At 36.7% G+C, this 13,243-nt stretch overlaps 1 protein-coding gene across 1 annotated transcript; it reads right to left on the bottom strand.

The window, feature by feature from the left end:
- Window positions 1-11,320: 11,320 nt before the first annotated feature.
- Window positions 11,321-12,315, bottom strand: OR10A4 (olfactory receptor family 10 subfamily A member 4). The gene has a single exon (NM_207186.2). It carries the CDS (start codon window positions 12,290-12,292, stop codon window positions 11,345-11,347), a length of 948 nt encoding a protein of 315 aa, NP_997069.2. The 5' UTR covers window positions 12,293-12,315; the 3' UTR covers window positions 11,321-11,344.
- Window positions 12,316-13,243: the final 928 nt, after the last annotated feature.

Genomic DNA, 13,243 nt, shown 5'->3' with positions numbered 1-13,243 from the left:
GCCTTTGCTGTGTGAATAGTGCTGCGATGAACATAACCATGCACGTGTCTTTATGGTAGAGTAATTTATATTCCTCTGGGTATATACCCAGTAATGGCATTGTTGGGTCGAATAGTAGTTCTGTTTTAAGTTATTCAAGAAATCACCAAACTGCTTTCCACAGTGGCTGAACTAATTTACATTCCCACCAGAAAAGTGTTCCCTTTTCTCTACAATTTTGCCAGCATCTGTTTTGTTGTTGTTGTTTTGACTTTTTAATAGTAGCCATTTTGACTGGTGTGAGATGGTACCTCATTGTGGTTTTGATTTGCACTTCTCTAATGATTAGTGATGTTGAGCATTTTTTCATATGCTTATTTGCCACTTGTATGTCTTCTTTTGAAAAGTGTCTGTTCGGCAACCTATAGAATGGGAGAAAATTTTTGCAATCTATCCATCTGACAAAGGTTTAATATCCAGAATCTACAAGGTCCTTAAACAAATTTTCAAGAAAAAGCAAACAAGCCCATCAAAAAGTGGGTGAAGGATATGAACAGACACTTCTCAAAAGAAGACATTGATGTGGCCAACAAACATATGAAAAAAAAAAGCTCATCATCACTGGTCGTTAGAGAAATGCAAATCAAAACCATAATGAGATACCATCTCACACCAGTGATAATGGTGATTATTAAAAAGTCAGGAAACAACAGATGCTGTTGTGACTGTGGAGAAATAGGAATGCTTTTTGGTGGGAGTGTAAATTCACTCATTCAACCATTGTGTTCAACCATTGTGGAAGACAGTGTGGCAATTCCTCAAGGATCTAGAACCAGAAATACCATTTGACCCAGAAATACCATTACTAGGTATATACTCAAAGGATTATAAATCATTCTACTATAAAGATACATGCCCACGTACGTTTATTGCAGCACTGTTCACAATAGCAAAGACTTGGAACCAACCCAAATGCCCATCAGTGATAGACTGGATTAAGAAAATGTGGCACATATACACCATAGAATACTATGCAGCCATGAAAAAGGATGAGTTCATGTCCTTTGCAGGGACATGGATGAAGCTGGAAACCATCATTCCCAGCAAACTATCACAGGAACAAAAAACTAAACACCGCCTGTTCTCACTCATAAGTGGGAGTTGAACAATGAGGACACATGGACACAGGGAGGGGAACATCACCCACCGGGGCCTGTCGGGGGATGGAGGTCTAGGGGAAGGATAGCATTAGGAGAAATACCTAATGTAGATGACTGGTTGATGGCCACAGCAAACCACCATGGCACGTGTATACCTATGTAACAAACCTGCACGTTCTGTACATGTATCCCAGAACTTAATATGTGTGTGTGTGTGTGTGTGTGTGTGTGTGTGTGTGTGTATAGATGTAGTGGGATATTGAAATCTCCTACTATTGTTGTGTTGTTTTCTATTTCTCTCTTATAATTGTCATATCTTCCTGGTAAATTGACTTTTTTATCATTAAATAATGTTGTTTCTGGTAAAAAAAAATTTGGATACTAAGTAAATTTTTAAATATATTTACTTATATTACTACTATTTTTATGGTCTCCATTTCTTTAAATACCAGATTTTCCTATGGTATCTTTTTTTTTTTATGAGAGAGAGAATCTCCCTCTGTTGCCCAGGCTGGAGTGCAATGGTGTGATCTTGTCTCACTGCAACCTCTGCCTTCCAGGTTCAAGCAATTCTTCTGCCTCAGCCTCCGGAGTAGCTGGGATTACAAGCGTACGCCACCATGCCCAGCTAATTTTTGTATTTTTAGTAGAGATGGGGTTTCGCCATGTTGGACAGGCTGGTCTTGAACTCCTGACCTCAAATGAGTCGCCTGCCTTAGCCTCCCAAAGTGCTGGGATTTAGAGGCGTGAGCCACCACACCTGGCCCGTGTATCATTTTTCTTTCTGCCAACAGGACATTCTTTAATATTTCTCATGGTGTGGGTTCTGCTGGTGATAAATCTTTGAGGTCTTGTATGCCTGAAGACATCTTTATTTCCCTTTCTTTCTGAAAGATATTTTTCCAAGTGTAGAATTTCAGGTTGAAAAATTGTTATTCTCTTGAATACCATAAAAGTCTTGCTTCATTTTGACTTACCTGTATTGTTTTTGATGAGAAATTTGATGTTATTCTTATCTTTATACCGCTATACATAGAATGCCTCGCCTCCCTCCCACTGGCCACTTTTGACATTTTCTCTTTATCATTGTTTTTTGAGCAATTTGATAATTACATGCCTTTAGTTATGTGTCTTCATTTTTTTGTGCTTAGCATTTACTGAGTTTCTTGATCTGTGGTTTATAGTTTTAATTAAGTTTGGAAAATTTTCAGCCATTATTTCTTCAATTTTTTTTTCTGTCCTCTCCTCTGCCTTGGTGACAACAACTACCTTCATGTTACACAGTGTGAAGCTGTCCCATAGTTCACTGATTTTCTTCTCATATTTTGTATTCATTTTTCTGTTTTATTTTGCATTTTCTATGGCTATTCATCAAACTCACTAATCTTTCATCTGTAATATTTAACCTGCTGTGAATCCCATTCAGCATATTTTTTATCTCAGATATTTTAGTTTTCATCTCTAGAAGTTTAATTTGTCTTTTATTTATAGCTTTCATGTCTCTACTTAACTTTTTAAACATATGCAATAACATAACTTTTAATATTTTTCTCTGTTAATTGTAACATTTGAGTCAGTTCTGGGTTGATTTATACTGATTTTTCTCCTCATTATATAAGTCGTTATTTCCTTGCCTCTTTACATAACTCATAATATTTTATTGAATGCCAGACTTGGTGAATTGTACTCCGGTGGATTCTGGGTATTTTTTGTATTCCTATAAATCTTCTTGAGCTCTGTTTTAGAATTCAGTTAATTCACTTGGAGATAATTTTGTCCTTTTGTGTTTTGCTGTATGAATTGTTAGGTGGGTCTGAAGCAGTGCTCAGTATAGGGACAAGTATTCCCCATTACTGAAACTGGACCTTCCTGTGTCTTCTACCCACTATTCCATGAATTACGAGTTTTTCCAGCCTGAATGTTGGGAACAGGAACTACTACGGACGCTGTGTTCATGCCAAGCACCTCTGATGCTTCCTTTGATTCTTTCTGATGGCTATTTCCCCAGCCTTGGACAGTTTCTTCAGATGTATATGCTTGACTCTATTGAACAGGCAAAATGGAACCCTTTTAGATCTTTGGGGTTCTCTTTCTCTGCAGATCTCTCTTCTCTGTTATACATTCATAAGGTTTACCTCATTTGTTTCCAGTCTCTCAGCAGCTACTTTCCTTTGTTGCTTGATGCCTGTGTCTTGAAGGATCATTGTTTCATGTATTTTATGTGTTTCTTATTTTATTGTTTTAGGTGAGGGGTAAATCCAATTCCTGTTATTCAATTTTGGCTAAAAGTAGAAGTCCTTGAGAGTAGTTTTGATTTTCTTTCAGCAGTTTAAAAGTATTATCCCACTGTCTTCTGTCTTCCACTGATTTTGTGATTGTATAGATGCTTTTTACATATTCTCTATATCTTTCTCAGCATTTTGATGTGATTATTTATTTGTTTGTTTTAGCTATCCGATCGGTGTTCACTGAGCTAGTATTTTTTTCAGATATTGCATCTCTTTTACTTTATTGTTTTCTCCTGGAAATCTGACTATCCATGATTTAGACCTTTTTGCTTAGTTGAACTTTTATGCTCATTTCTTTATTTTCCCTCCTTTTTGTTCTGTGCTTCTGTCTCCATACTTTCTACTGAACAAGACTACAGTTTATAAATTATCTCTTCTGCTTTGTGGACTTTGCTATTGAGCCTACCTAATGAATTTTCAGTTCAGTTTATTTTTTAGTTTTATGTCTGTTTTTCTTTTTATGAATTGTAGTTATCTCATGAAAAAATCTTTTTCTCTCTTTTCTTAAAAATATTAGTAATAGTTATTTTGAACTTAGAACTCTAATATCTAAATCACCTCTAAATCTTTTATGAATAATGGCAATATATCTAAACATAGACAAATAAATTATCCATAAAAGATTGGCAAACAAATGTCACAGATGTCACAAATATTTATAGATAAATTTCCCATTTTTTCTCTCGGTTTTCAGTCATTTTTGACCCTTTTTCATTAGCATGTTTTATAATTTTTTCATTAAATAGTCCCCCTGTAGAGGCTCTGGATGATTTTTTTCTTTCTAAGAGGATGCAGTTTTCTTTTGACAGGGTAAAAACATAAGCAGATCAATTCAATCCTATTGATGGTTGGTTTTAGGCTTTTTTAGGCTTTTTCTATCTAGTTTTGCATTTGTTCCTAAATTATTACCTTTGTGGGATCTCAGCTGAAAGCACAGAGTGATCTACCTCACAAGACTTAAACCCTACCCTCTATCTCCCAGCACCAATCGGTTAGTAAATGCTCAGCTCATATATATATATTTTTTTAGCCTTTCATATGCTGCTTTCTTTTGAGTTTCCTTGAGTCTTTTCTTGTGCATACACCGTTTAGGAGTGACAAACAACTTATAAATATATTGCATGCAAATTTTTGGACTTGTTTATCTGTGGTACCCTCATCTTTGTGATTTGATTCTCAATGTTAATATGTTTGGCAACCCCGAATTCTAATTTCTACCCTCTTATTTCAGTGACTGCTACTTTATGCTAACACTCTCTTTTCCTCTTAGAGAAATGACAAACGCCCTTGGGGAAAACACTTGGGTGAATGTGGCACTTACCTTATTGTTCTTCCCTCCTCTTACCTTTTCTCTTCAAGTCCTGCATTTGCTGCTCTCCTGTATCTCTAAGCACTTGTTTTGTGTGTTTTGTCAATCTTTTATAGTTGTGTAGTTGTTTTGGGGAGAATTATTTAAATTCAAGCTACTTCTCTGTGGCCAAAAGAGAAGTGCTGACATTAAGTGTGTCTTTAAAGTTATCCAGGTGATTCTGATCCACAGTTCAAAATCATTGTACTATATCAATGTAATTGAGAGGCCAGGGGATTTTAAGTGAGGCTGGAAAGGTGGATAGAGACTAGCACAAGTTGGGAATGTAGAATTAGTAAAGGTTTTGCATTTTACTTTAATAGTGATGGGAAGCTGTGAAAAGTTTTCAAGCAAGGGAATGACACAATCTTATTTACATATTGAAAAGACTACTCAGGATCCTCCACGGATAGTGGATTATAGGGAAGCAAGATAGAAATAGGAAGATATGTTAGGAAGTACTGCAGTAGTCAAGGTAAAGAACGATTGTGTCTTGGTCTAGGATAATAGCAGCATAGATCAAAGAAAATTGGATATAGCATATATTTTGGAAACCATTTGTCAGGTTTGCTGATAGGTTCAATATGAGGGATGAAAGGTAGTGAGTAAATAAGAATGGCTCTTAAGGTTTTGGCTTGAGTCACTGAATAAATGGTGATAATATTTGCTGGTGAGTAGAAGAGGGGAATAAAAAAGCAAGTTTTATGGAAGTGTTTTGGATGAATTAAGTTTGAGCTGCCTACTTGACATAAATGCAGAGGGATGAAGAATACAATTGGATATTGGATTTGAGCTCAGGGGAGATATCACATTTGAAGATAAAATTTTGGGGATCAGTACTCTGTACATAGTATATAAAGGCATGAAACCAGATAAAATCTTTTAGATGATCTCCAACATGGGAATAACAATAACAATAGTTATTTCAAAGGGCTGTTTTAAAGATAAAAGTAGAATTTTATAAATGTAACTTATAAACTATAGAAATGTATATTTTTTGTTATATTTTCTAATCCAACCCTATTATGTAATTTACATAGAAATGATTAACTGCAGGCAGGGAGTAGATAGAAAAGTTATGTATTTTACACATTTTCTTGGATAATACAGACACCCTTCAGATGGACAGATATAAAGTTTTTATCATTTTTAATTCCCACATTTAATCATAAATATAGAATTGTTTTAAATATTGGAAACCTAAAATATTGATAAGTCAGCATTTCTCTGCAGGGATTATATATGGATATCTGTGAGGGATCCTGGATAGTTGAATGTTTGGACTTATTTATCACTTCCAATTTATTTCATGGGAAATCAAATGTATATTAATTGCATTTTTCCCATGCTCAAGTCACTGTGCTAGGCCATGTAGGAGATATAAGTATGTTATAAACCCTGTCCTTACAAGAAAACAGTATAATCAAGGAGCAAAGAAGTAGGACAGAATAAAAGTAGATCATATGTTTGTGTGCATGTGTTTTCAGAGAAGAAAATACTGTCAGGTTGGAAGCAATTGAACCCACGCCATGAAAGAGGTAATATCTGAAATACATCTTGAAGGATGGTCAGTTTATGAATATATCACAATATTTTGAATGAGCAGAATAGTAATAAAATTTTTAAATAGGCAATAAAAAGTTTTAGGAAGAAGTAAACTTAACTCTTCTTTGTAAACAGTATTTCTAAATTATGATCCAGAAAAAGAATCATACAGTCCTTGTAGAATTTAGTGAAGATTATGTGTAATGTAGTATTGTGGCAGAAAGTAACTGACAACGTGCTGATTAGGTGAGGACTTTTTATTGGACTTTCTGGTATGAAGGATGAGCCTCATTTGATTATCAGATTTCTGATTTTGTTGACTAGGTAGTGCTAGTGACAGTCTTTGAAATAGGAATTCAGTTCAAGAAGCAGGATTTGATAAAGAAAATGAGTTAAGTTTTTGACATGAGTTAAAAGATACCTTTGAGGTGCCTTTTGGAAATCAATGTGGATATGTCTTATGGACACTTGCAAATATCTGACTCTCAAGCTTAGAGTGATGAGGTTTCTCTCTCTCTTTCTCTCTCTCCTTCTCTCACCTTGTTCATGTGTGTATGGTATGGGTATATGACTTTGTACAAACTCATCAAATTGTATACATTAAATATATGCAGTTTCTCTATATTACTTATACTTCAATATAGCTATTTTTTAAAAAAGCAACAGAGTGAAAAAAAGCACCAAGGTTATTATTGGAACTTTGGGGAACATAGTGTTTCCAATGGTTAAGTGTTTGTGAGAAAACTCCTTGAAGATTGAGAACGAGTGTTCAGAGATGCAGAAAGAAAACCAGAACAGAATGGTATTTGGGAAATAACAGGTGTAGAAATTTTCAAAAGAAATACATGAGCAATGTAAGAGTTGTAATAGAGTAGCAAAATCAAGATTAAACACTGGACAGGTTAATATAGAGGCCATTAATGATTTTGAAAGATCTATTGCAATGAAGTGATAGGGGAAGAAACTAGATTTCAGTGAATAAATAGTAAATTTAATGAAAATAAAATAGAAATTATAAACTTTTTTTCCCCAAGAAGTTGTCTGATGCTAATGGGTGTGGGTTTTCTTTTAGGGGTGATAAAACTGTAAAATTAGATTGTGGTGATGGTTGCACAACATTGTGAATATGCTAAAAAAATTGAATTATAAACTTTAAATGGGTGAGTTGTATAATATGTAAGTTATTTCAATAAAGATGGTACAAAAGTAGTCCAAGCGTAAATGAGAAAGATAAGAGAAACGTGATCAAGATTGTAATTCGTTTTTGTTTTAAGGATCAGGGCCTGTTTACAGCTTGAGACAAAAGAGGGGAAGAGATTGAAGTTACAGGTGAAACAGATGAGATACTCCAAGAAGCATGGTTCATAGACAAGAGGCTATGCAATCAAGTATTTCTCAGATTAAGAGAAATAGGCATAGATGTGGGCATAGATGGAAACATTTTTAGATGTAAGGGCATGAGTAAAAGTCATTTAAATCTGATCACCCCAATTTTCTTGATGAAGTGGAAGTTGTTTTCTTGAATAAAAGAAGGAAGAGTGGTACAGGGAAAAGTAGCAAAAACTTGGATATTAGCTGAGAAGAATAAAGTAAGACCAAGTGCATTAATGTCGTATTGCTGCTGTAACAAATTACCACAAACCTAGTAGCTTAAAACAACCTAGATTTGTTATCTGAGAATTCTAGAGTTCAAAAGACCAAAATCAGTTTCACTGTGCTAAAATTAAGGTGTCAGCTAGACCTACATTATTTTCTGAAGGCTCTAGGGGAAAATTTTGTCCCCTTGACTTTTTCAGCTTCCACAGGCTGCCTACATTCCTGGATCATGGCCCTGTCTTCTAATTTCAAAATCAGTGGCATATCACCTTCTGTCTTCTCTAACCTCTGCCCATGCTTACATCTTTCTGTCCCTCCTTCTGATCATCTTGCCTCCCTCTTAGAAGGATGTTTGTGATTAGATTGGGTCCATCCAGATAGCACAAGATAATCTCCCTATATAAGAATCTTTAAGTCAATCACATCTGCAGCCCTTTTACCATGGAAGGTACCACCTTCACAGGTTCCAGGGACTAGAATATAGATATCTTCGGGGGGGGGGCCACTATTTACCTTACCCACCAAGGTCAAGAAAAAGGAATGTGAACAAGTGATTAAAATTTGACTGAAATTGGAGACTACCAATATTTAATGGTGACAATCTGTTTAACTGTGTGATTGCCATCATGCAAATAGAACCCCATGATCTGCCTTTTCTTTTGAAAATTCTTATGGTCATTTTACAGAATGAGCTATCTTTCTGAAGCCCTTGTGTCACGAGAGCTGAAGGACACTTTGTGCAGGAAAGGAAACTGGTCCTGGTACTTCTATGGCACACAGAGATAGGGTTGTTTACAGAGTTGGTGAGGTGGACATGCCTGTGTAGTAAAATAATTTTGCCCTGTAATTATCAATGAATTGCCAGGAGTAAGTTTACACACAGTTATGTTGCCCATACACAACGTTGCTGTTTGCTGAGTCCAGAGTTGGACTGTGTTCACTAGATAAAATCATAGAGAGGCTACTGTGTGGTTGAAAGATACACAAGCTTGAAAAAGACAATTGATTCCATCCAATCACAATAAGATTACAGAAAAAAATCTCGTAAGCAAAGAATCTTTGGGTTCTTTATACCAGTTCCCCATAATTTCCCCACTTATACTTGACTGGGAGTTCTTTATACCTTTGCTATCAAGCAGTTCTCATACACCAGGTGAATAATGTGAGATTTAGACAGTTGTCGTTGTGGAGTAGTCTTTCTCCAGATAAGGCACAGACTGACTGGTAGCAGAGACAGAACTCTTCAGTCGCTAGTCCTCTAAACACGTATACTTTATAAACCACTGGAGGATTGAAGTATCTTTTTATTATCTGTTTTATCACTAGAATGTAAATTCTATGGGGTAAGAAATTTATCTGTTTTATAAACCAAGGTGTCTTCAGGGCCTAAACGAAGTCTGAAACATGCTGAGTGCTGAATAAAAATTTGTTAAAATTTTGAGTTCAAACTCAAATTTGTTGAAAAACATGAGTAAAAGAATAAAACAAAACTCTACAATTTATTAGCATTATTATTTTTATTTTAATTACTTTGTAAACAAAGACAGCCTAGAAATATGCAGGTAGGTTTTGGACAAATAGAAGAAATTAAAGCAGAAAATTATAAAATGAAATGGATGTGGGAGTTCAAGAAAGATTAAAACAAATTTTAAAACATGGTGGATTATAGTTATCGATCTTCTGAGGATCCTAATTTATATAAACTAGCAGCATCTCCAGAGACATTGGTACCACCATCCCATAGATACTATGGGATACTATAATGCTTTCTTTCATTACTCATGTTCTTTCTTTTATACATATATATATATATTTTATTATACTTCAAGTTCTAGGGTACATGTGCACAACGTGCAGGTTTGTTACGTATGTATACATGTGCCTAGTTGGTGTGCTGCACCCATTAACTCGTCATTTACATTAGGTATATCTCCTAATGCTATCCCTCTCCCCTCCCCCCACCCCACAACAGGCCCCAGTGTGTGATGTTCCCCTTCCTGTGTCCATGTGTTCTCATTGTTCAATTCCCACCTCTGAGTGAGAACAAGCGGTGTTTGGTTTTTTGTCCTTGTGATAGTTTGCTGAGAATGATGGTTTCCAGCTTCATCCATGTCCCTGCAAAGGACATGAACTCATCATTTTTTATGGCTGCATAGTATTCCATGGTGTATATGTGCCACATTTTCTTAATCCAGTCTATCATTGTTGGACATTTGGGTTGGTTCCAAGTCTTGCTATTGTGAATAGTGCTGCAATAAATGTACGTGTGCATGTGTCTTTACAGCAGCATGATTTATAATCCTTTGGTATTATTATAATCCTTTGGGTATATACCCAGTAATGGGATGGCTGGGTCAAATGGTATTTCTGGTTCTAGATCCCTGAGGAATTGCCACACTGACTTCCACAATGGTTGAACTAGTTTTCAGTCCCACCAACAGTGTAAAAGTGTTCCTGTTTCTCCACACCCTCTCCAGCACTTGTTGTTTCCTGACTTTTTAATGATCACCATTCTAACTGGTGTGAGATGGTATCTCATTGTGGTTTTGATTTGCGTTTCTCTGATGGCCAGTGATGATGAGCATTTTTTCATGTGTCTGTTGGCTGCATAAATGTCTTCTTTTGAGAAGTGTCTGTTCATATCCTTCGCCCACTTGTTGATGGGGTTGTTTGTTTTTTTCTTGTAAATTTTTTTGAGTTCTTTGTGGATTCTGGATATTAGCCCTTTGTCAGATGAGTAGATTGCAAAAATTTTCTTTCATTCTGTAGGTTGCCTGTTCACTCTGATGGTAGTTTCTTTAGCTGTGCAGAAGCTCTTTAGTTTAATTAGATCCCATTTGTCAATTTTGGCTTTTGTTGCCATTGCTTTTGGTGTTTTAGACATGAAGTCCTTGCCCATGCCTATGTCCTGAATGGTATTGCCTAGGTTTTCTTCTAGGGTTTTTATGGTTTTAGGTCTAACATGTAAGTCTTTAATCCATCTTGAATTAATTTTTGTATAAGGTATAAGGAAGGGATCCAGTTTCAGCTTTCTACATATGGCTAGCCAGATTTCCCAGCACCATTTATTAAATAGGGAATCCTTTCCCCATTTCTTGTTTTTGTCAGGTTTGTGAAAGATCATATGGTTGTAGATGTGTGGTATTATTTCTGAGGGCTCTGTTGTGTTCCATTGGTCTATATGTCTGTTTTTGTACCAGTACCATGCTGTTTTGGTTACTGTAGCCTTGTAGTATAGTTTGAAGTCAGGTAGCACATTACTCATGTTCTTTCTTTCAGAAATAGGTCTTAGTAGAAAGTAAAAAATTTCAGTAGGCATACCGTGTCACCTGGAAAGAGTAGAAACACAAAATCCACTTGAGGAATTCATTTTTCTATTTTTTGTGTGTGTACTTACATTTTACCCCTTCAGTTTCCATCTAAGCCAATCATAGTTTCTGAGAGCCCAGGGTCCTGTGGATAAGCCGCTTCAGTGCAGCCTTCACTTCTTTATTCCTTGAGCTGTAGATGATGGGGTTCAACATGGGAGTCACCACTGTGGAAGAGAGTGACAGCAGCTTCTTGCTCTCAGAAGAGGCACTGGATTGGGGTCGGAAATACGTGAGGATGGCAGTGCTATAGAAGAGAGAGACAACCAAGAGGTGGGCGGAACAGGTGGAGAATGCCTGATGTTTCCCCTCAGCTGACGGCATCCTGAAGATAGTGGAGAGGATGCGGACATAGGATCCCAGGATCAGCAAGAAAGGAAAGAGAATGAATAGGACAGTGGCTGTCAGAGCCTCCAGTTCAAACACAGAGGTGTCAGCACAGACCAGTGCAATAACAGGAGGGCTGTCACAGAAGAAGTGGTTCACCCTGTTGGGGCCACAAAAAGGGAAACTGAAAATCCATGTGGTTTGCACAGTGGCCACTGAAAACCCTGAGAACCAAGAGGCAGCTGCCAGCTGGGCACAGGATATGTGGCCCATGATGACTGGGTAGTGCAAGGGGTCACAGATGGCCACGTAGCGGTCATATGCCATGGTGGCCAGGAGGCAGCACTCAGCAGCCCCAAAAAAGAAGAAGAAATACATCTGAGTGGCACATCCAAGGAAGGAGATGGTTGTGTCTTGAATGATCAGGGTCCCCAGCATCTTGGGCACAATGACCAAGTTGAAACCTATCTCCAGGAAGGACAAGTTTCTGAGGAAGAAGTACATAGGACTTTGTAGTGCAGAGTCAGCTATAGTGACCAGGATGATGAGGACATTGCCCATTAAAGTAACCAAGTAAATGGTCAAGAAAAGGAGAAACAGTAGAGCCTGAAGCTCAGTGGACAGGGCTGAGAAGCTCACGAGAACAAATTCACTGACAATTGTCCAGTTTTCCCACATCATTCTTCTGCCCAGGACTTCACTGGGCATTCAAAATCTAGGAAGGTAGAAGAAATCTCATATGTTATTTATACCTTTATTATATTCTTATAAAGGGGACCTCCTGTGGCCTCATTCTTTACTTTCCTTGTTAGAGTTGTTGAGGATCAAACATCTATACTCTCCAAAATATAATAAAACAAATTTGACCATTAGATTCACAATTTTTGGGGAAAGAATTCTACTTTTCCAGACTTAATTAACATACTATATATATCTATACATGTCCTGATTTTTCTGTTCTCTGTAGAGAATGGGCAAAATCACAGCTTTATGTTCATGCTCCTACCTTATCTCTCTTCAATAATGGTGCTAAGAAAGGCAGGCCAAGCATTTATGAAGAGAGAGGTCGTGACACATAATGAAAAGTGGTGAGGTCAGGCAGGTATATTTTTTGCAAAACAAAAATGTAGGAAGGAGAAAATCAAAGAAACTGATTCAGCAATTACTAAATGATTCCTGAGGAGGAGATCCGAATGTGTCTCAATCTCAAGAAGCCCATACTCAGGAAGGTTTCACTATATTGTGAGAATCTCAATTTCTACACTCTGAAAATTGCAGTGTAAACAAGAAGACACACAACATAGTCAGGGTGGCTTATCTTGATCCCAGGGATGAGTATTTTCCAAGTGGTTGTATGTGTCAAGATAGCATCAGAACCATGGACAGAATCTAGATGGGTTAAGCATGAACTTTTTCATCAGCTCTCTTGGTTGACTTGTGTCTTGACTCTCAAGAAACTTGAAGCTCACATTTTACATGTTAATAAAATACAACTTAAATATGCAAGTGTGACTAATATGAAATCCCATGAAAAGGAAACAAAAGATTTCATCATTGCATTAATAACGAAGCTTCAAAATTGGGACCCTGAAATTCTTTGTGATGACTATAAACATATGGAGGAATAAAATC

The sequence above is a fragment of the Homo sapiens genome, chromosome 11 (assembly GCF_000001405.40).
Source record: "Homo sapiens chromosome 11, GRCh38.p14 Primary Assembly".
In the NCBI taxonomy this organism is placed as follows: domain Eukaryota; kingdom Metazoa; phylum Chordata; class Mammalia; order Primates; family Hominidae; genus Homo; species Homo sapiens.
Note: the sequence above shows the minus strand (reverse complement) of the source record. Positions and strands in the feature narration are given on the sequence as shown.

Bases quoted from the DNA above. Each gene is read 5' to 3' on its own strand.
- OR10A4 (NM_207186.2), bottom strand. From the start codon at position 12,292: ATGATGTGGGAAAACTGGACAATTGTCAGTGAATTTGTTCTCGTGAGC.